General features: G+C 52.6%; 1 protein-coding gene and 1 non-coding gene across 6 annotated transcripts in view, besides 1 other annotated feature; both read right to left on the bottom strand.

Moving 5' to 3' along the window:
- Nucleotides 1–22,602, bottom strand: part of PRRC2B (proline rich coiled-coil 2B) — a 126,543-nt gene that overhangs the window by 11,135 nt on the left and 92,806 nt on the right. For 2 of the 5 annotated variants that reach the window (NM_001384822.1, NM_001384821.1), the window contains exons 13-28: nucleotides 21,306–21,496; nucleotides 18,076–18,271; nucleotides 15,335–15,551; nucleotides 12,524–14,605; nucleotides 11,110–11,315; nucleotides 10,440–10,585; nucleotides 9,666–9,807; nucleotides 7,251–7,333; nucleotides 6,497–6,685; nucleotides 6,152–6,349; nucleotides 5,614–5,700; nucleotides 4,269–4,373; nucleotides 3,919–4,111; nucleotides 2,877–2,974; nucleotides 1,765–1,892; nucleotides 963–1,203 (exon numbers count right to left, since the gene is read on the bottom strand). In NM_001384822.1, the coding sequence (NP_001371751.1) occupies nucleotides 963–1,203; nucleotides 1,765–1,892; nucleotides 2,877–2,974; nucleotides 3,919–4,111; nucleotides 4,269–4,373; nucleotides 5,614–5,700; nucleotides 6,152–6,349; nucleotides 6,497–6,685; nucleotides 7,251–7,333; nucleotides 9,666–9,807; nucleotides 10,440–10,585; nucleotides 11,110–11,315; nucleotides 12,524–14,605; nucleotides 15,335–15,551; nucleotides 18,076–18,271; nucleotides 21,306–21,496 (4,502 nt within the window). Of the gene's footprint in view, nucleotides 1–962; nucleotides 1,204–1,764; nucleotides 1,893–2,876; nucleotides 2,975–3,918; nucleotides 4,112–4,268; nucleotides 4,374–5,613; nucleotides 5,701–6,151; nucleotides 6,350–6,496; nucleotides 6,689–7,250; nucleotides 7,334–9,665; nucleotides 9,808–10,439; nucleotides 10,586–11,109; nucleotides 11,316–12,523; nucleotides 14,606–15,334; nucleotides 15,552–18,075; nucleotides 18,272–21,305; nucleotides 21,497–22,602 lie in introns of all 5 variants that reach the window. The other 3 variants (NM_001384818.1, NM_013318.4, NM_001384823.1) reach the window with 2 other exon arrangements.
- SNORD62A (small nucleolar RNA, C/D box 62A) lies at nucleotides 3,309–3,394 on the bottom strand. The gene has a single exon (NR_002914.1). It is a non-coding gene; the product is annotated as a small nucleolar RNA, C/D box 62A (small nucleolar RNA).
- Nucleotides 10,403–10,697: a silencer, noted in NCBI's record as "tiled region #9532; K562 Repressive DNase unmatched - State 17:Gen3'". NCBI's record gives its function as "represses a minimal TATA promoter and a strong SV40 promoter by Sharpr-MPRA in K562 cells {active_cell/tissue: K562}" and the evidence as "EXISTENCE:reporter gene assay evidence [ECO:0000049][PMID:27701403]".

Below are 22,602 nucleotides of genomic sequence, written 5' to 3'. Positions count from 1 at the left end.
GTGCACAGAGCAGGGGCCCATGTGAACAAGGGCACCAGTGGCGAGGAGGGCACAAACTGCATGGACAGGGTCCATGGCACAGAGACCCGGGGTCATCTCTGCAGACATCAAAACCACTAGGAACTGGAACAGGAGAGTGGAGACAGACTGCAAGCCAGACCAGACAAGGAGGGTGACCTTCAAAGGTGCCAAATACTGCCCACAGGTTGACGGAGAGGAAGATTTCTCAGCAGACACTGGATGTGGTGATGGCACCATAGCAGAGTGAAGGGCTTGTCAGGCACAGTCTATGGTGTGGGCTTCAAAGCTGGCGTTTCAGGGAGGAAGGAAGAAGAGGAGTCTAGAAGCATCAACAACTACACAAAGAGGACTCTTAACCCATTCCACACCCTACTGCACAAGGGCAGGGAGAAAGGAAGGAGCCCCCGTCTGGGGGCTGCAGGAGCAGGCAGTGCTTAGGGGACAGCCAGGTCTCAAGAATAAAGAGATGGATGAGGGGCCAGGGGTGGTGGCTCACGCCTGTCATCCCAGCCCTTTGGGAGGCCAAGGCGGGCAGATCACTTTGAGGTCAGGGGTTCGAGACCAGCCTGGCCAACATGGTGAAACCCCATCTCTACTAATACAAAAATTAGCCAGGCACAGTGGCACACACTTGTAGTCCCAGCTACTCAGGAGGCTGAGGCAGGAGCATCGCCTGAATGTGGGAGACAGAGGTTGTAGTGAGCCGAGATCATGCCACTGCACTCCAGCCTAGGCAACAGAGCGAGACTCTGTCCAAAAAAAAAAAAAGGTGATGGGGCTACTCAGAAGAGGCTGATTTCCTGCACGCTGAGGAATGGGCACGGTGGCTACCAACCAACAGCACGATAGGCCAGCACACACTGAGAGGCGGGTGAAAAGAAAAGGCAAGGTCGTGAAGGAAAGAAGCCTAGGGCTTTGGGTAGAGTGACTGAATTCCTGACCTGTGGGAGCTGGGAGTCCAACATCTGGGAGGCACCCAGGCCAGCAGCCTGGCTGAGCTGGCCCTCGTAGACCAGGGCTTGGTTCCCGCTCATGGGCTGGTAGGGTGAGCCAGACTGCGGCTTCACCATCTCCAAGGGCTGCATGCCTGGGAACGCCGAGTATGGAGGCTTCAAGGCTGTGCCCCCAGAGAGGATCATGGTGCTGGGCGGTGACAGGCTGGGGTGCATGTACACCTGAGATCTGCAAAAGCCAGACAGATGGTCGGGATCAGGTGGATGAGTCCAGCTGCGGATCTGGTCCCACCCTTCAGAGATCCCCGGAGAGCTTGCTAAACCACAGATCCCCGGCCCCACCCCCAGAGCGCGACTCAGAGGGTCCAGGATGGGGCCTGAGAACAAGCTCCTAGATGGCGCTGATGCTGCTGGATTAAACAAGTGAAGACATCCAGGCTGTACGAGGCACAGGACATCAGCCACAATGACTGGCAGCCACACTGACGGAGAAGCCCGCGGTGGGGAGGAGACAGGGAGTCAAGGGGAGAGGAGGAGGAAGGAGCAAGGAAAGGAGGCAAGATGACATGGAAAAGCAAAACACGGCCCACCACATATCAGCTCGCCCCAGGCCTCTCCTAGAGCACAGTTAACAACGGACTGAAGAGTGATTCAGAGCAAACTCCCACCCCTCCCCGCCCCACTGGCCCCAAAGCAGACAAGCACCAAACAGCTGCAGGACGAAGGCTGCACACAGGGCCAAGGCCCTGGCTGTGAGCTGCCAGCTCCGCAAGCTGGTACATGAGCTCACCTGAAGGGCTGCAAGGAGCTGAAGATCTCCTGGGACTGGGACACAGGAAGCCCACCCCTCAGTCCAAGCTGAGCTTGTGCCTGCAGAGATGTGTGAAGGGAGATCGGGATCTGCTGGGCAGCGGCGGCCTGTGAACGGGAAAACGGGGTCGGGGAGGTAACCGCAAGGCCCATCCAGGTGGTTCTTCCCCTCCCACCTCCCCTGCCCCTCTCCACATGGCTGCTGGAACACTGCCCAAAATTCAAATGCCAGCATGTCATTCCTGGGCTTCCCTTGCTATTGGGATAAAGCCTATAATGAAAAACTGGTAGCAACCCCAAACCACAGCATATCCCTACCCTGGAATTCTACACAGCAACAAAAATGGATCCTAGCACATACGTCAACAGAGGTGAGTTCCAAAAACATAACGCTGAATTTAACAATGCACAAAAAGAAAGATACATGCAGTCTGACCCAGTTATGCAAGAACCAAAATCTTGGTAACCAAACAATACAGCAGTTAAGAACATGTTTTTAAAAAGAGGTCAGCAGAGGCCACATCCTCCATCAGCAAGCCTGCACTTGGAGCAGATTCTGCCTGGAAGTCCACTGTCGTGGCTGTGGAGGCACATGGGTCTGAGGGGCGGCTAGACCATCCCAAAGGCCCAGCACCAGCATTAGAGGGGAGACTTCCAAAAATCACCCCTTGGCAGCACAGAAAGTATGCCAGTCCTGCATAAATAACCAACGCCTGCTCATTTCTAAGACTACCTCTTTCTAATGCATCCATGCCTGGGAGTTTAGGCCTTTCTTCTCTTCATCAGAAGGATACCTGATCACCAAAGAAAATTCCATTTTAGCTAATTCCCCGGCTAGGACACAGGAGGGAGAACTTTGAGAAAGGAAAACTAAGCAGAGTCTGGAGCAGCCAACTCCACTCCTCTTCCCTGTCTCGATTATTCGCTTAACAAATGCCTCCTGGCTGCCGTGGCGGGCCAGGTGCTGGTCACCACATGTGAGGGGGATGGAAAACCAGACAGACAATGAGAAATAGATGAGCAAGCCAATTCCGCCCTGCACTGGCTCCTCCCCACCACCCCCAGCCAGGCCACCTGGCTAGCTGCTGTCACCTGTTGGTAACTCTGCTGCTGAGGTATCGTTTGAGGAACCAGCCGGGGCTGACTTGCAAACACATGGCCATCCAGGTACAGGGGCGGGAGGTGGCTGCCTGGAAACAGAGCGGCAAAAGGGACGTAGAAGAGGATCAAGCCTCACTACTTCTCAATGTCCCTGAGGGAAACAGTCTACAGGTCTGCTCTACCCAGGGGACTCAGTGGGGACGAGGGCGTGTGTACAGAGGCTGCTAGGTTCCCTGTGTGCCGGAAGCACACGCCTGCTCACAACACGCCTGGCACGCACCTCAGGGAACGTAGGGAGGGTGCAGCGTCAGACCTAGGAGGAGGGAGGAGGCAGGTGGGCTCTGGCCTACCCTTCCCACCTCCCACTCACCAACTACCCCAGACACTCGAAGGGGCATTCTACTTTAACCAGGGCTGCCTTGGTCTCTCAGTCACTGTCCTCTTCATCTCCCTGCTATTGAGTCCACAGTGGAGGGTCAGAAGGATCTATTGGAATTACATCACTGAGACTGGCAGCTGGGCCCTCAAAACCCCCACGCTTCCCCTTGGGGACACTGGCACACGATAAGGATGGCAGCAATCAGGACAAAAGTAGCTGCCAGTGACTGAGGGCTCTGTTGATACAAAGCCCTTTCCAGGTAAGACCTGGCCTCACGGGTGTGGCCACCCCACGGAGTTTCATGTAAGAGAGGAGAGGACACTGTGGCTCGGCAAGAGCTGCTCACCAGCCGAGGCGACACGGCTCCAGCACATGACCCAGGTCTGACTCAAAGTCAAGCCTTTGCTCGCTCCTGTCACCAGTAGGCAGGAGTGCCTCGCTGTTATCCCCCAGTTCTGTTTCCCAGCGTGGGGAAGCAGGACGTGCACATTACCTGCAGCACATGGGAGCTACGACCACTGGGCCTAAAAACAAGTTGCTACTTCTACATGCTACTTAAGACAAGGCCAGGAGGTGACATTCGGGGCTGTTAATCCGTTTTTCTTGATAATAAATGGAGAAGGACCCCAAGGCCTTGCTCAGGGGATGAGATACCTGGCATAGAAGCAGAAGGTGCTACAGAGGCCACAGGCATGGGTGGCATGGACACTCCACCGAAGGAGCTGTAGTTGACCCCGCTGGAGGCACCCACAGAGGATGGAGGCTGGATGCCTGAGCCAGCGCCGCCTGGAGAGCTCTGCTCCGGCAAACTGGGGGAGTTTTCCCAAGCCTTGCGCGCAGACTCCATCTTCAGAAGCAAGGGGAGGGGGAGGGATGAAAATTACTATCACGCTGGCAGTGGACAGAGCCAATCTAAGCTTTAGGGGTTCGGGGACTCCTCCCTTCTGCCTCTTTGTAAGCTAAGGTACTGGGTGGGCCCTCACCCAGCTCAGGGCTGGTGTTACCTTCAGAGTAAGGTCGGCGGTGGGGAAGGACATTGGGGAGAGACCGATGGCCCTCTGGATGTGATGGTCCCGCCGCAGGATGGGGATACTCTGTGTTAACCCTGCCTGGAGAGGAGGAAAAGGAAACCATGGAACACAAACAGGTGCAGAGATGGCTTTGCCCAAACCCATCCATGGCTCTCCTGAACACACTCAAGGCTCGTCCAAATGTATCTATGACTTGCCCAAACCCATCCATGGCTTTTCCCAAAAGCACCTACAGCTCCGTGTCTATGAATTGTCCAAATGCATCTTCAGTATTGGCCACATGTACCCAAGACCACCCAGATGAAACTGATGGCAGCCAGGACCATGACTGATCTCCTGGAGATGGCTGCCTCCATCAGTTTCCTCCACACAAGTCTGCAGAGAGCCACCCCCATATCCACACTCCATAGTGCCCTCCAGACAGGGAGAGCCATGTCCCGGCAGTATAAATATGGACTGGCAGCCCGCACACAAACATCTGGTTCAGAAGGCACCTGCCACCTGGCCTGGAGATGCCCTGGGCCAGACAGGGAAGGCTGTGCCCCTCAGCAAACTGAAAAAGAGGGCTCTGGTAACAGAGGCTGGAAATGCAACAGTGCCCCCGCTTCCTGCAGATCCCCGGTGTCCATCTGCATGTGACAGAGACCGCAGACTCTCGAGTAAAGAACCTCGTAGAGCCCAGCACTTCCAAAACATTGTTTTCATTCAACACCTATGAATATTGTACAGCACTCACATTCCTTGGAATCCTCTGGGAAACGCTGCCCAAATGATACTCGTTCATTCAGCATATGCACTAGCACCCACCCCTGCAGGTGGTGAGGACAGAGCAGTGAACCAGATGTCACTGCGACAGCCTCAGCTGCAGCCCCGAGTGGCCACAACAGATGCAACTGCCAGCTCCTGAGCCCATGGTAGAGCGCCAGCAGGTCTTCTGGATCACAACAGTTAGATTGCAGGCGGCAGGGACCCTTGGATGGTGAGATGGGGCCTCCTGAGGAGGGCTCTCCTACTCAATCTGTGCCCCTTACCCCTGGCCACAGAAAAGGCAGCCTGAGTCTGGGCTCGCACCTGGCACAGAGGAGACAATGGAACCAAAGAGAGCCAAATAAACCAGCCCTTAGGAACTGTATGATCCCCACTGGAAGGTCACAAAACCTGGGCAGGAACATTTAAGCACCTTTTAAGGACATGGAGCTGCTAGCAACTGAGTCACGTGCCAGCCCAGGTCAGCCTGAAATACATGTGCTGTCTCCTTCACCCAGGGCCTGCCAGCCCCAAGCAGTGAGTGGAGCCAAAAGTGGAAGTGTGGACTTACATTACTGGCCAAGGCATCCTGAAGTTTAACAACTGGACTCCCAGTAGGACCAGAGGCAGAACCAGGTGGCAAGCTGAAATCGGAGTCCTGAAAAAATAAAAAAGGCCACACAGCCCACTGAGATCCTCCTGGCCCTACATTCCCCAGAGGCATACATTAACGTGATGCAGTTTCCCCGACTCAAAAACTCCACTGAGCAGCATTCACTGGAGCCACATATGAGCGAGATGGCCAGATTTTCCCCACGGCACAGGAGACAGGACGCCAGCCTCACTTCTTTCTCCCTGTCCCTTGGGTGGCCTGACAGAAACAGGGAAGATCACTGGCCTGTCTGGTGTCAGTGAAGCAATCTTTAAAGCAACTCAACAGAGCACTGGCCATGTGCAGGACTCCACACCAACACTCTAGCCGCTGGAAGACTGCTTGGCTCCCATCCTTCTATTCCTTCTAGGAGACAATCCCATCTGAGCCCCCAGCCTCTCCAAGTACCAAAATAAAAAGTAAAAAAAGCAAGCAAGAAAACAAATCAAAGCCTCACTTTTGGACTGACTCCAAATTCAATGGGTGGCACAGGCAGCACGGAGTCCACGTGAATCTCCACCCCGTTAACAGGCGGGACGACAGCCCCTTGCAGCCGCTCGGCCCCCTCCGAGCCCTTTCTGTTTTTCAGAGAACGCTCGTTGCCGATGGGTCCTGGTCTGTGCTCCTTGCTCTGTCCAGAGCCTTGTTCTGAATCCTTGATAAAAAAGCAGAGAGGTGGAGACACACAGACTGGAATGACCACACTCTCTAGCTTCTACTGTCCCAGGAATTGAGGAAGATGATGAGACGATGGCCCCTTCCACCCAGGCCCTGGCCACTGTGACTGGAACGTCCAGGTTACCTTCTGCTCAGATGGCTTTGGAGCCTGCTCCTTGTGGCTGTCGGCCTTGGGTTCCGCCAGGCCGGGCCCGCTCATCTCCTCTGGCTTCAGAGTCCCATATGGGGAGCTGCGCTGCGAGGAGGTCGCAGACGACTCCCGAGACTCGGCACTCAAGTCAACGCCACTATCTCCCTGGCTGCTCTTAAAACCCTGCTGTGCAGAGCACAAAATGGGTTATAGCCTCAAACTCCCAACTCGATTATCCAGAGAGTAAAACTGCATGTGGCACAGAGACTTTTCTACCCCAGCTGCCTGTCCCTTGCCAAGTCTGGTCCTGATCTTGATCCTGCCCTGCTGAGGATGCCTGACAACTTACGTGTGGCCAAACACACCAACCCCGATAGAGCTCGTGACCACAGGATCTTCTATGGGCCCCAGACCGAGGCTGCCAAACCCATCTCACTTGTGACCCAAACCAGACTACGTGGCTGCTGACACCAGTTCAGAGGAGGCCCTGAATCCCTCTTCCCACCCAGCGTTGGGTCCTCCCTTGTTACCCCTTTTCTCTTTCTCCTGCTCATGCACGCCCCATGCACAGGCCAGAAATCAAGATGGAAAACCACTGATGAGCTTGGCCCCATGGAAACAACCTAATTCCAAGCTCAGCTGCTGTGGCAGGGGCTTGGGTGGGCCACAGCAAGCTGGCCGTGTGGATGGTGAGCACACACTCACACACTCATCCCAGGGGCAGCATGTGGGCAGCGGCCACACTCACCTCCGCAGAGCCAGTCTCGGTGCTGCTGAAGGCAGTGACAGCTTTCCTCCAGGAGTCGTTGGCTGGGGCCTGCACAGGGAGAGCTGCCAGGGGAGGAAGACAGAGTCAGGGCATCAAAGAGCAACCCGTCTAGAGAGTTTATGAGCTCTTAAAGAACAAGCACAGGCACAGCTTGCAGAAATCCAACTCCCCTGCCTCCCCTGCACCCGCCACCCCAGCCCCCTACCCGTGACACCCAGTGAACGGCTCTGACGTGGAAGAGCTGGTCTGACAGCCTTACCCAACTTTCCACATCCTCACCCAACGTGTTTCTCAACATCTCATGGATTACAGGAGAGAGTGAGCAGGGCAGAGCCCTCACTCCTGCCAATCTGGATTCTCTGTCGTTATTTCCGCTATGCTCATGCTTCTTTTCACTTATACTATTTCTAAAAGTTGGTAGCTTCTCTTTTTTTACATTAAAAAATATATCTTTCTTTTTTTTTTTTTTTTTTTTTGGAGACGGAGTCTTGCTCTGTCGCCCAGGCTGGAGTGCAGTGGCGCGATCTCCACTCACTGCCAAGCTCTGCCTCCCGGGTTCACGCCATTCTCCTGCCTCAGCCTCCCGAATAGCTGGGACTATAGGTGCCCGCCACCACGCCCGGCTAATTTTTTGTTGTTGTTGTATTTTTAGGAGCGACGGGGTTTCACCATGTTAGCCAGGATGGTCTCGATCTCCTGACCTGGTGATCTGCCTGCCTCAGCCTCCCAAAGTGGTGGGATTACAGACGTGAGCCACCAGGCCTGGCCTTCTTTTTTTTTTAAACAATAGAGACAGGGTCTCACTCTGTTGCTGGTCTTGAACTCCTGATCTCAAGTGATCTTCAAGCCTTGGCCTCCCAAACTGCTGGGATTATAGGTGTGAGCCACCACTCCTGGCCAAAGTTGGTGGCTTCTACAGAGTCTTTGAAAGATCCCAGCGGGTATTACTAAAAATTTTTAAGCTCACAGACCACTTTTTGAATGGCCATGGATCCGGAGCCCAGAAAAATAGATATGCATGCAAAAGTTGACATGCTAGCAGGGGGTGGGGGCACATATCTGCAATCCCAGCTACTCAGGAGGCTGAGGCAGAAGGATTGCTTGAACCCAGGGGTTCAAGTCCAGCCTGGGCAACATAGTGAGACCCCATCTTTAAAAAAAAAAAAAATCCTTTCACATGCTATTTTAATATCCAAGGGCTCTCTGAAGCCATCCCTTGGACACAACCCCTGGTCTGAGAAACCAATGAGCCCCTGCAGAATTCTGGAGTAAAAGATCTGACAAAAGGGGATGATGACTCACACCTGAGAGTCACATCTGATTCACACCTGGCAGCTCAACCAATCTGGCACCTGGGCATTTTTGGACACCAATACTATGACACCTGTCACTCAGCCACTACCAAATGTAGTGTTATTGATGTTTTATCAAATGGTTGTGCTTCCTTTCCATCAAAGCTGGGCATGTTGAATGTTATTTTGTAGTTTGCAAGAACCAAAGTTTTCACCGAGCACATGAGGACAAGCTATGTGGAAACAGTGAAAGAATCAAGGCCCAGAACTCAGTGTCTCGGGTGCTTGTCCTATGACCCTGGAGTCCCTGAGTCAAGTCCCTTCCCTCTAGAAGCTTCAGCTGCTTTGCAGAAAAATGAGCTGGCACTAGGTGACCTCTCCAAGCTCCCCTCATGGGCCTGAGCTGTGAAATATCGAATGTCCATGTTTTTATTCATCTATGCATGCTCTGGGCTAACAGCGCAGGGCCCTGCCTCACCTAAACCTCAAGAAGAACCTATTCTATGAAAATAGTTTTCTATTTTATAAGGAAAAATTCCCAGAAAAATTACATTTGATATAGAATTAAAAAAAAAAAGTTTTCAGGGCAACAAATGTTCTAAGAAGTAACGTATACCGTCTTCTGGTCTCAGTTTGCCTTTCCAGAAGAGCATTCAGGGAGGGGTTTCCAGAGCCTTCCCCATGTTAAGAAAAGGGTGCACAGCACAGAAGAGAGCTCCTGAACTCTTGCGGCTGGTCTATCTGTCATTTGCTTCTCTTCCATAAGTTAGTGGGAGAAAACGACGACCAACAAAGAAGGCCATTCCCACTACTGTGTGATCTAAGCCCAAGGGGCCATCCTTTTCCAGATCACCAGACTAATGAATGCTCTGCTCTTCTACCAATTTTAGGCAAGGAAAATTGTGTATCCGTTTGGGGGTTGCAGCAGCAAATCACTCAGACGGCATTCAGCGACTAGCTCAGCAGCGGAACACAGCAAACAGGTACTCCATCTGTATTCCATCTATATTCGTAGCTCAAAAGCAGGATCCTCCCCAGAAGCAAACCCAGTGTGTGATGTGACCTTGGGTGCCACAGCTGGGGTCACACCCCCAACTCTCACCCTGGCTGCTGCTCTCCCAGATCTCAGTGCCCAGGCTGCTGCCAGGCACGGTCACGTCACCTTGCTCCAGACATAAGTTGTTCTGCTTTTTTGCAAATCGAGGAGGAATACGGGAGGAAAGGCCTCGACCTTTGACAGGCACCTGAGGGGAAGAAAGGATGCTGTAGTCTAGCCAAAGGCACCAAGACTGACAAATTCTCCCCAGGATAAGTATCCCAGGTACCAAAAATCACACCACCTGAAAATGCTCCAGAGATGTGTGGAACGCTCGTCTCCCAAAACCTCAAGCAGAACTGCGATGCCAAGCAAAGCACCCCCCAAGAAAGACCTGAAAGGCCAACGGACTGTAATCTGTGTGCAGGTCCAGCCCTGACTCCATTTTAGTATAGCGTTCACGATCCACTTGACTTGAGGGAGACAAATCTCATTCCACTCAGGAATGAGGAGTGGGGAGGAAGGAGAAGCTGGGAGGTGACGGAGGTCTGCATCTTGCCTTGGACAAGTTTCCACTGTTATCACCCTAGAGAAGTCACCCTCTTCAAGACTCGGTTTCTTCCACTGCATAACAGTGATGCCACCACCTATTCCTACATTGATAGAAGGGCCTTGGTAATAGCAGGAACGGGGAGACAATGTGTGCTTGCTAAATACTCCTTTCTTCCTCTCTGCCACCTTGAGCTTGACCGAGAACTCCCTTACCCTCTGGCTCTGGGTTTCCTGGGCATCTGCCAGCCTGCCCTCCAGCCCCATGCCCCCCCACCCTCCGCCCCTCACCTGCACGGCCTGCTCCTTCTTTCTTCTCTCTTCCTCCAGCAGGCGGCGCTGCTTCTTGGTCAGGACTTCGATGAAGCCTTCGCCCACCATAGAACCCACCTCACTCTCCTCCCCGGGGCTGGACCCGCAATTTTCAATGATGGCACCTGAACCAAGATTTCACGAGAAGGAACAGTCTTTCCACTCACCAGGAGACAAGAACAACCCAATTCAACAGGCGCCTGAGATCTAGCATCAGGCTCGACAGAAACCTGGACAGGACTTCCGCACTTTTCTCAGGCCGCCTCTGATCTAACACATTGTTACCCCAAACCAAAGAGGCCCAAGGGCACAACTGAGAGAACACGCAAAGAGCTTAAACCCCAGCTCTGCTCCTACAGCTGTGTGTGACCTCGGACACACCACCGAACGTCTCTGGGCCCCAGGCTTCCTCTCTTTAAAGCCCGGAAGCTGCAGGGTGTCACGGGGATTCAACGGGCTGTGAGCAACACTCGGTGGGAATCCTACCTACTCTGCTCACCTCTACAGCCCCAGAACCCAGCCCAGGGCCTGGCCGAGCTGTTCCGAAAGCTAAGGTACTCAGTGCAAGGGCAAACTCGGGAGGCCCGAGGACTGCATGGCCCCTGGTTCTGCCTGAGTTCTTTCCCCTGAAGATATGAGGATGACTTACTTCCATAGTTCAGGTCAAACTGTTTCATGGCCTCTCCCTGTTCACCTGCCCTCGGAGCAGCCAACTTGGCCTCCTTCTCTGCCTTTTTACTGGAGGCTTCGGGAAGGTCAGCACTGGCATGGGCTGCCCGCTCCAGGGCATAGGGGGAGTGGCCACTCCCACTGCTGCAGCCACTAAGACCTCCAGGCAAGGCCTCGTCTGGGGATCTGTAAGGGAAAGAGGATCTTGTTAACCAGAGCTGGGGAAGGAGGGAAAACACCGCACGTGCACACAGCCTGCACACAAGCCCGGCACCCTGATCTAGGCCCACTTCCTCTAGCTGACTCCTCGGGTGGGGAGGAGCGGCAGGCTGGCCACAGTGCATCCATGTCCGTGTGCAAACATACGTGTAAGGCTGCCCCCACCGGCTCTGCCTGCTCCTGGGGAAAGTGGCTCCCCAGGGCTCTCCCACATGCTATGTTCAGAGTGTAGGGGGGAGAGAGACAAGGGGAATATGCTCAGAATGGAGACGCCAGCATTTCTGCTCCTCTCCAGGACTGCCCTGCCGGAGGGCCCTTGGGGCAGAAAACTGAGGTGAAGCCAAGGGTCAGCCTCTGGCGCCTGGAAAGCTGGATTAGATGCCACCTGAAAGAGTCGGTGTTCCCTGTGGCTCCTTCTCTGGGAGTTTCTCTGCCTTGAATTCTAAGGAGAGTGGAGGTGTGAAGCCATCTTCCTCAGTATGCTGAGGACAGGGAAGGCCTCAGCAGCCCCTGCACCTCCCTGTCCGAGGCACAAGCCAAGTGCAGTCAGTCAACCCAGACTGTGCAGGGGACCCTCTCCTGGTCCCTGAGCAGAGGTCATCACCCGAATGCCTCTGGCTGTGGAAGAGGTGCTCGCCAGACCATGTGCAGCCTGCTCCCCTCTGCGTTTGCTGGGCTCCTGCCATGCTGAGGTGGCAACCCCACCGTGGGGCCACGTCTCCTCACAGTGGAGAAGCAGAACCATCTAGGAAGAGCCACTTCCATGCAGCCACGAGGCCAGCGATGCCCCCTAGGACGCCGCCTGGCAGCAACTCCGGAGCAGAGGACTCTGGTGGACTGACCGGCACCTGGCACTGTGCACAGGCAACGTTCCTCGCTGCAGCGGCCCCTCGGCGGGGCTCCAGGGACACATGACTGGACTCTCAGGTCAGGTGCTGGACAGTGGCCTCAAGAGCACCACTGGGGTGGGGGTGGGGGTGGGAGCTCTAGCCACAATAACACCACCACGAGAAGCAGACAGGCAATGTGGGGGCAGGCAATGGAGACGCGCACAGACGGCCTGGGGGCAGGCCCCCAGCCCCGACACACGGCGGCATCGGCATGCATGCGTGAACTCAGTGCTGCTGAGAACAGAACACAACAACAAAAAGGGCCCAGATGGTGTCTGGTTTTACCTTTTCACTTTCAAAGGCGTCCCATTCTGTTGGCTCTCATAGCGAGGGGAGGTGTCACCACCACCTGGCCTAACGGGCTTCTCCCCAAACCCTCCCGGCTCCAGCTTTCGGCTCTGTCTGTCAACCACGGGTCTCTGACTGGAGAAGCTCCTCTTGGCCAGCTCCTTCTTCTCACCCAAACTAGCCCCCGACAGGCCACCATCCACCTGGGAGTCGGGCTCGGACCCAGGGCCTTCCCGCCGCTCCCGCCGCTCGCTGAAGTCGCTGCTTTCGGAGGCCGTCTCCCACTCCTCATTGGCGTGATCGGAGGAGTTCTGGTAGGAGAGCTCAGGGGACCTGCGGCCCACAGTGCCACTCTTGTCCCCAGAACACAGTTTGGGCCTGCCTGGCCACTGACCTGCCAGCAGGTGGGGCTCCTCCTCGGGTCCCCACAGGCCCAGGGACTCCCGCTCTTGCCGGAGGCGCCGGAATCGAGGGGGCTTATCTTGGCGTGGGGGGCGCCTTCTCCTGAAGGGCCGGTTCTCTGCATTTTCAGAATCTGCCACGTGTTCATCTTGGAAGAAGGATCTCTTGTCCTCCGCGCGGCTGTCCTCAAAGCCCCGGCCACCAAATGCGTCAGGGTGTCTGTAGGAATCTGGGACATAGTCTCTGTCTGTAGGTCGCCGGGATCCGCATGTGTCGGAAGGGCCATATTCCTGCCAAGAGCTGCCTGGACTTTTGCTCTGCCAGTGGGGTGACTCTTTGGAGACGAAGGTTCTCCGTCCATACCCGCAATTGCTCAGCCGGGGAGGGAGGGCTCGCCCAAAGGCCCGAGGGCCTCGGCTCTTGGCATCTAGACCGCTGTGGTCCTCAGAGCACCCCTTGTTGGACCGCCAAGAATCTCTGCAGTCGCCCTTCTTCAAGGTGCTCTCCTCCCTCTCCAGGAGCGAGCCTTCATTCCCGTTCTCGGAGCCCCTCTGCCGGCGGCGCTTGGGAAGTTCTTCATACTCTGAGCCCTCGCTATGGGTCTCACTGGCAACTCTCCGTCGGGGCTTGGCTCTGGGGCAGTCCTCTGGCCGCGCAAACTCTCGCAGGCCCCGGCCACGGCCGCTGCGCTGACTGCTGCAGTAGATGCTGCGGGCCCCCAGGACCCCCCCACCACAGAGGCCGCTCCCATTTCCGCCAGCAGGCCGACCACGAAAAGTGAACTCTCTGAAACCACGGCCCCGGCCCCGGGCCTGTCCTCTGACCCCAAAGGCTTGCTCCTCATCAATAAAGATCCAGTTATTTCTCTTCATGGGGGGAACATCGCTGGACTCTCGTGGGGGTCTGGCTTCCCAGGCCTTGTCAGGTTTCTCCTCCTCTTCAAATTTGGTGGCCTCGCGGCCAAAAGTGGCATGGCCAGGGCCTTTGTCCTCCAAAGTGGTGGTGGAGGAGTTGGCCAGAGAGGCATCGTTCTCTTCGTCCTCATCCTTTTCTGCCGTGGGGCTCTGCTCCTTCTCCTTGGCCAGCCGGGTACTCTCCTCCCCTAGCTCCTGCTTAATCTTCTCAAGCTCCTTCTCCTTGTCTTCCACCTTGAGGGCTTTCAGGACTGGTTTCTTGATGGGTCCCGACCTCCGGGTCCTGCCCGTCTGCTCCGGGTGCTGGCTGCTGGAGCTCCGGGGCTCGGGAGTCCATTCAGGCTCCGAGGATGGCTGTTTGTTGGGGCTCCCGTTCTTGTCCCAGGAGGAGATGTTAAAGGCCGTCCCCTCCCGGGGTGTCTCCCGCTCAACACCATGGGCTGTGTCAGCGGTCTCTGGCTGGTGGCTAACATCCCAACTGCCACACTCTGGCTTTTTCTCATCTGGGACAAAGTCAGGCTCCAATGGGGAACACCTGAGGTTTTGGGTGTGACCCCCAGGAGCACCTGCATCCTGAACATTTTCTTGGGGTGGAAACAAAAGCTCCTGGCCTATTCTTTGAGAAGAGATACAGCTGTCAAAGTCTGCTTGGGCCTTCTTGTCAAAAGCACTCAAGTACTCCTCCCCTCTCTCCTCAAAGAGATCGCGCTGAGCACTTACGCCCCCTGCCCTTCCGAGTGAGGCAGAGAAAGAGCTTTCATTCCTGAAAAGGAACCAGAAAAATCAGTCAATGCGATTGGAGCCTGGTTCCTGGTTTCCATGCTGAACACAGAGCTTAGTTTTAAAAAGAAAAAACAAAAACAAAAACTAAAACACTTTTTAAAAAGAAAGCTAGAAAAACAAAACAAAAAACAACAACCAAAAAAAAACATAAGCATCAACATTTGTTCTATCTTTAAACACGTCTCAGAAATGCCAGGCCATGAATTGGTCGGTGGCCCCTGGAGTCCTTGAGAGTGAAGACTGTCGTGGCCGCAGGCTGGGTACGGTGTGCCCCCTGGAGACAGAGGAGCCAGGCAATCCTCCGGGTCAAAGAGCAAGAGCAAGCTGGAGCCTGGGAGGCCGTGAAGAGTCTGGGGCTATGGGGGTGGCAGGGCTAACTCTGTTTACTTCCACAGAAATGAGCCAAGACCCATGCTCTGGACCCCACCTGCCTTGTGAAGCCCCCACCCGCCTGCCCTGTGCCCAGGATTTGAGGACCCCGGGACTTCTCCTTCACCTTACGTCTCACCATCTGAAAAGAGCCTCTTGGACAAAGCATTCAAGCAATCCTCCTCACACTCTCCTTCCCCAGAGGAACCAGGAGTCCCTTCAAGGAGCACGTCTCCCGTGGGCAGTGTCTCCTAGGATGGTAGCTCATCCCAGGGCCCTCTCAATTAGGACCTGGAGTCCTCCTTCAGTGGCAAGGCAGCAGGACCAGGCTTCATCTCACCTGACACGCATGTCCATAGCCAAGGTGTCACTCGACTTCGGGTGCGGGAGCGGGTAGCCCTTGCTCTGCAGTGCCATGTAGCCCTCTGGGCTCCACACAGGGGGTGAGTCGATGGGGGTCACTTTTCTTTCTTGGAGTGGGGGCACACAGTTCTGATCCTCAGAGCGACAGCCTGTCCCATTGAGGGACTCCTGGGGCATCATGGGCTTCATCAGTCCTGAAGAAGGCAAAGACTGATCTACATCATCTCATTTAGAAAGCCCTGCTCCAATCTCAGGGTCAACCAAAGGCCCAAAGAAGTTAACAGTTACCCTGACTTTCATGTGGATACAGCACCCCACCCACCTACACATCATAGGGCTCTTAATCTTTCCTGACCTGAGGACCTCTGAAGGCACACACACATGCACCCTGCCTGGTTCAAAGACCTGTCCAAGGAAGGGGGCAAGAAAAGCACATTTGTCAGATATAGGCTTGGTCCTTAACACTCAGGACAGGGGATGAAGCCTTTCTATACAGGGCAGGGAGATACAACTGAGACATTGTTTAAAACAAAGACCCAAAAGGGCCACATCCTCAAAAGGCACATTAGATAGACACATGCGCTTTACTACCAGGAACAGACTGGCGGGTCTGTCTGGCCTGGACCAGGGCAGGGAAACAATTGTCCCCCTCCCAGGAATTCAGACTCACATGCTTACTTTCATGGAGGTTTAAGGGACAAAGACTTCAGATTTCTACCTCCCCAAATGCTTTGCTAAGTTGAAGGTGCATGTTAGAATTTTCACGTAACCACTAACATATAGAAATGAAATGTAGAAGCAAAAGAAAAACAATAGGACCAAGAAAAGGCAGGAATTAGAAGAAAAGGCACAGAAAGAGAAGAATAAGAATGGAATGCATGAAATATCATAGTTGGAATATCTAAATATAATAATCCCAATAAGGCTGGGCATGGTGGCTCATGCCTGTAACCCCAGCACTTTGGGAGGCCAAGGCAGGTAGACCACTTGAGGTCAGGAGTTCGAGACCAGCCTGACCAACATAGTGAAACCCCGTCTCTACTAAAAATACAAAAAAATCAGCCAGGCATGGTGGCAGGTGCCTGTAATCTCAGCTACTCAGGAGGCTGAGGCAGGAGAATCGCTTGAACCCGGGAGGTGGAGGTTGCAGTAGGCCGAGATCACACCACTGCACTCCAGCCTGGGTGACAGAGCAAGACTCTGTCTCAAAAAAAAAAAAAAAAAAAAAAATTAGCTGGGCGTGGTGGTGGGCGCCTGTAATCCCAGCTACTTGGGAGGCTGAGGCAGAAGAATCGCTTGAACCCGGGAGGCGGAGGTTGCAGTGAGTTGAAATTGCACCACTGCACTCCAACCTGCATGACAGAGCAAGACTCTGTCTCAAATAATAATAATAATAATCATCATCCCAATAAATCTAAAAGGACCAACTTTTGCAATTAAAAGTCATAGACTTTCAGAGTGGTAAAGCTATACACATCTTGTAGATACAAAGATACACTCCCAAAACATAAGGGCTCAAAGAGGCTAACAGTAAAAATTGGAACAAAAGACTTCAAATACTTATCAACAGAAAACTATAATTATTATATTGCTATCAAAGTAGGCAATAAAGATAGAAAGCACTATTAATGACAACAAAGGTACTACATAAGGATAAAAGGAACAAGATACAGAAATTCTAAACCTGTATGCCTCCAGATAGACAAAGCAAAAACTGACAGGCTCCCAAAGAAGATTTGACAAATCCATCATCATAGTGGGACATTTTAAAACACCTTTTAGTAACTGGTCAAAGGGATAAAAACTTGCAATGATGAAGACATTTGCACAACACAATTAGCATGCTCAACTTAATGGACTATCTCCAACCAGAGAATACAGTCTTTTCAGGCAAATGTAGAATGTTAAAAAAGAATTGCCATGGAAGAGGCTACAGAGAAAACCCAACAAATGTCAAGCAACCTAAGTCAGGAGTTGGTCAGCAAACTACAGCCATTAAACAAAACTCAGCCTGCTGCCAGTTTTTACAAGTAACGTTTTATGGAAAAACAACCATGTTCACTCAATTACTATTGTTTATGGCTGTTTTTGTCCTACAACACCAAAACTGACTAGCTGATCAAGGCCTAAAAGACTTACTATCTGGTCATTAGTAGAAGTTTGCTGACCCCTGGTCTGTATCACACAGACCATATTATCTGACCACAGAGCAACTACATTAGAAATTAGTACTGCAAAGAGAATCTTAAAAGCCAAAAATTAATAAACTAAGTATATGATAATATTTTAAAGGAAATAAGAAAAGAAAAAGCAGGCATTATTAAAATAAAACCCAAATAAGTTAGAGGAATGAAGAAGCCCAAATACTGATTTTAAAAAGGCACTAGACAAACCTTGGGAAAGACTAATCAAAGAAAAAAGAGACAGCACAAAGAACATTAAGAATGAGAAGAAGGACAAAACGACATAGCAGAAATCTAAAATTAATTAAAGCAATTTATGATACACGATCTTCATGACTTTCCCAACAAATCTTTATGACAGAACTATTATTGTACCTACACTTTGCAAGTGACTACTTTGAAACTCAGACCAGTTGTGTACTTGACAAAGAGCCAGACCAAAATCCAGGTGTATCTGTTTAACTCGAGAGGACACCCTTGACCACCACGCTATCCTGGGTGATACAGGTATGGACCGTCAGACCACAGTGCTTACCTGAGGGATGCAGGGCGGAGGGGTAGAAGTCCACCGGGGTCCGAGTGGGCGTGATACGTGGGTCCATGTAGGAAGGCATCATCATCCACCTGGGATCGAAGCCCAACATCTGGGGGTGGTGTGGGTAAAAGGTGCGCTGGGGGTGGGACGGCGGGGGGTACACCGGCTGCCAGTGCTGCATCTTGTACAGCTGCTCCTGCCCACAGAGAGAGAGAGACTTGGTCAGGCTGGTGCGGCCAGGGACAGAGATGCCACCCAACACACGCCCTTCCAGCTTTCCAGCTGGCAGCACAGAAAGCCCACCTAGAACAGAAGACCAAGGAGGGGAGGGATGGGCAGCTGCTCAAGGGGAAGCCCCCAGTGTGTTACAGCTTGCAAGCTCAGGTCCCTGTCCAAGGCTGGTGGACAGCCATGCCATTATCACAATGGAGGCTCATCTGTGCCTGTGCTACACGAGACAGGCTAGGTTTTCACCTAGATCAGACACTCCTGGAACCGAACAGCAGCCTCCCACAGAATGTCTGGACATTGGCCACTTCTCTCCTTGTCTGCAGCTACCATCTGAGGTTAAATAATACACCAGCATCCCTTCCCTGCTCCCTCCAGGCCTCTTCAATCCATTTTCCATCCTTGACTAGGATGATCTTTTCACACAGACACCCCACGCCCAATATGTCAACCCCTAGCTCAAAAGAGCCTTCAGTGGTTCTCCACCGCTCTCCACCCGACGCCTAAATCCTACGAGGCTACTCGTGACCTACGGTGTTACAGTGAGGGTTGGGTCCCGTGTGACTTTGCCCAGTCTGCCTCTCTAGCTTTGCCTCGCAAGACTGGCCCTCCACTTTCTGCTCCATATATCCCTGCCACGCACTTCAGGCCACGGGAACACACTGGGACCCCTAGGTAAGCGCCTCTTCCCTCCATCCCTAAACGCAGATTTTCAGTTTAAACACATCCTCCTCTAGAAAGCCTGTCGTAACCCCCAGACGAGACCAGGTCCCCGGTCCTCTGCTCCCACAGAATGGCCAGTGCTCCTTTGTTGCACTCACAGCAGCTGATGGATTTTACTGCTGGTAACCCTCACTGAACCCTAAGAGACTCCCTGTGCACCCTTGCCCACAGCACCACACTCAGGATACAGAACATTTGCACAAATGGGTAAACAAATTATCAGTAACTATTCAAAATCAAGGCCCTTGCCTGACTCAGGAGGGTTCATTTCAGACCCTGCTCTATCCCATCAGTGACCTCGGGCGCTAATTCCTAAAGGAACCCTGAATTGGCCTTGAGGCAGGACTCACTGCTGCGTCACACTCTGAGGACACCCAAACGGCCTCCAGCACACACCCTTCCATTCCGCAAACAAAAAGGCGGCCAACCTGCCTGGCAGTCTACAGCACATCCTGAGCTGATTCCCTGGACAGTTCTGTTGGCACTCCCAGTGCCTATTAAGAGCACTCAATAAATATAGCTCATCAATCAAGAGACTTGAGTCATTCACTCTCCCAGTCCACAGAGAAGGCTGTGGGCCTCCATCTCCCAGCTCCACCTCCTGTCTACACCCTAGGTCTCCAGGGAATATGACCAGACAGGCTGCCCTGGTGCTTTCAGACTTCCTTCTATTATTTATTTTATTTTATTTTATTTTTTGAGATGGAGTCTCGCTCTGTCACCCAGGCTGGAAGGCAGTGGTGCGACCACGGCTCACTGCAACCTCCACCTCCTGGGTGCAAGCGATTCTCCTACCTCAGCCTCCTGAGTAGCTCGGATTACAGGTGTGCGGCACCACGCCTGGCTAATTTTTGTATTTTTAGTAGAGATGGGGTTTCACCATATTGGTCAGGCTGGTCTCAAACTCCTGACCTCAGGTGATCTGTCTGCCTCCCAAAGTGCTGGGATTACAGGCGTGAGCCACCACGCCCGGCAATTCCTTCTATTCTTAAGGAAGGACTTACCCATCACTTCCTCCGCACCCCAAGGAGTTACCTAGAGCAATTGTCGCTGCTAGGTTTGGCGCAAGTAATTCCAGAGCTCTCCCCCATCAGTAATTCTATACCCCAAGAACATGAGTAACTGTGCAGTGCTCGCCTACACTCCCATGCTCTAAAATCACATTAAAGGCGGTCCCTGGAAGGCTCCCAGGTGCCCAGAGGAGAGAAGAGGCTGAGGTGAGAAGTTTAAAGGTAATTAAGTGAGATACTGGGAAAAGCCTTAAGTCCTTGGTTTGTTTCTCCATGGCACACACGTTTTGAAATATTTTCAATTAATATTAGTAATAATTTACTGCACACCTTGCTGTTTGGTGTGCACTAAGTAATGTCTATGTATCATCTCAGTGTCCCACCAAAATGCACTATTCCTTAGTATTGACTACTGTGTTCCCTTACTTATTACTACTCTAGTAGGCACGATTGCTGATGAGTGCTTCAAGACTATCAGGACTAGGAGAGATGGGTGGAATTACAACCATTATCCACATGATCTTTAGGACAAAAAGTAGGTCCCTTTTAAAATTTATAAAAAAATAAAAATAAAGTTTATAAAAAGCCAATAACGGTGACACCAATAAAATAGTTTATAGGCGATATGGCATGAAACACTCTGCCATGCTGAAAGGCAGGTATTCATTCTTCCTGGTTTACACATGAAGAAATATGGGTGAGAGGGGCATAACTGACCCCTCCAAGGCCATGCACAACTAGTTCAGCAGCAACATCAGGAAGGGAGCTGTCCAACTTGAAACCTGCAAACCTACATCTGTAACCCAAAGGTGACGTGCCTCTCTTGGGCAGCTCTTCAAACAGCTCACAGGCCTCCCTTACACCTTGGGAGGACCCCAGGGTGGGAAACACTGTCCTCTAAGGAACGTCCAAGGTGCACTGCTCTGAAATAAAACAACCAGCCTGCACACTAGAAAAATGGAGCTCACTGCAAACAGCACTGAATAGGTTCCTTAACAATATTAGAAAACAAGCTCAATAAACCACAAAGACTGTATTCATTCCCAGGGACCTCCACCACTCAGAGAAATAAATAATGGCCAGGGGCTGATCTACCAAGGTCACAAGTTTTGAGGTACAACTCCTGACGTCCCCACTGGTCTTGGGGGCACATAAGGGATATTCTGGCCTTTTTCTAAGTTGGAGGTGGGGCATGGGGACGAGGAGGGGAAACATCTGCTCGGCACTCAGGCCTGTTTATCACAGTCTTTTACCATCTCATCTGTTTACCTGCTGTTGTTGCTGCTGCTGGCGCTGGAATCGGGGAGGAAGGGACTTCTGATACTTGAACTCCTGTGCAGGGGACCCAGCCTCTCTGGCCTCTTCCTCACTGCTGTTGCTCTGTGCCACTGCTGGGGACACTGTGGGTGCCTCTTCTGGGAATGTGGTGGGGGTCTCTTGGGCAGGGAATTCTGGGGAGCCTAGAGAATATACCAGCAGAGAAATGACACAGTGAGCTCACAGAAGCTCAGCCAACCAAGTGTTTACAAACAAGTACTTCTTCCTGTTGGCCCGTACGCTCCACTGCTAGAACAGTCACGTCCCTGAACCCTGGCCCTGTGCCAAACGCATCACGTACACAAGCTCAGGGACTCCCCACAACACATGTGAGGAGGCTTCACCTGTTGTCACCTTACAGACTAGGACACTAAGGGTCAAGAGGTTAGATGACGTCCAGGGTCACACGGTCAGTGGCAGAGCTGAGATGTGACTTCAGGTGGAAGATGTTTTATTAAAAAGGACTAATAAGGCCGGGTGCAGTGGCTCACACCTGTAATCCCAGCACTTTGGGAGGCTGAGGCGGGTGGATCACTTGAGGTCAGGAGTTCAAGACCAGCCTCGCCAACATGGTGAAACCCCATTTCTATTGAAAGTACAAAAAATGACAGGCGCGGTGGCTCACACCTGTAATCCCAGCACTTTGGGAGGCCGAGGCGGATGGATCACGAGGTCAGGAGATACAGACCATCCTGGCTAACACAGTGAAACCCCGTCTCTACTAAAAATACAAAAAATCAGCCAGGCGTGGTGGCGGGCACCTGTAGTCCCAGCTACTTGGGAGGCTGAGGCAGGAGAATGGCATGAACCCAGGAGGTGGAGCTTGCAGTGAGCCGAGATCGTGCCACTGCACTCCAGCCTGGGCGACAGAGTGAGAATCCGTCTCCAAAAAAAAAAAGAAAAAAAGAAAGTACAAAAATTAGCCAGGCATGGTGGCGCTCGCCTGTAATCCCAGCTATATGGGAGGTTGAGGTGAGAGAATCGCTTGAACCCAGGAGGCAGAGGTTGCAGTGAGATCACACCATTGCACTCCAGCCTAGGTGACAGAGCAAGACTCCATCTCCCCCCAGCAAAAAAAAAAGGACTGATAGAGAACAGCCATGAACTCAGTGACAGCCCACATATCCAACATCTGAACAGCAGGAACTCAACATATGGAAATGCTGTGTATGACTTCCTGCTGGCAAGGATATAAAGGAAAAAACATTTTTTTAAAAGAGGAAAAAAACAAAAACAAGAGAAAGGCTAT

Source organism: Homo sapiens, chromosome 9 (genome assembly GCF_000001405.40).
Source record: "Homo sapiens chromosome 9, GRCh38.p14 Primary Assembly".
Lineage (NCBI taxonomy): Eukaryota > Metazoa > Chordata > Mammalia > Primates > Hominidae > Homo > Homo sapiens.
Note: the sequence above shows the minus strand (reverse complement) of the source record. Positions and strands in the feature narration are given on the sequence as shown.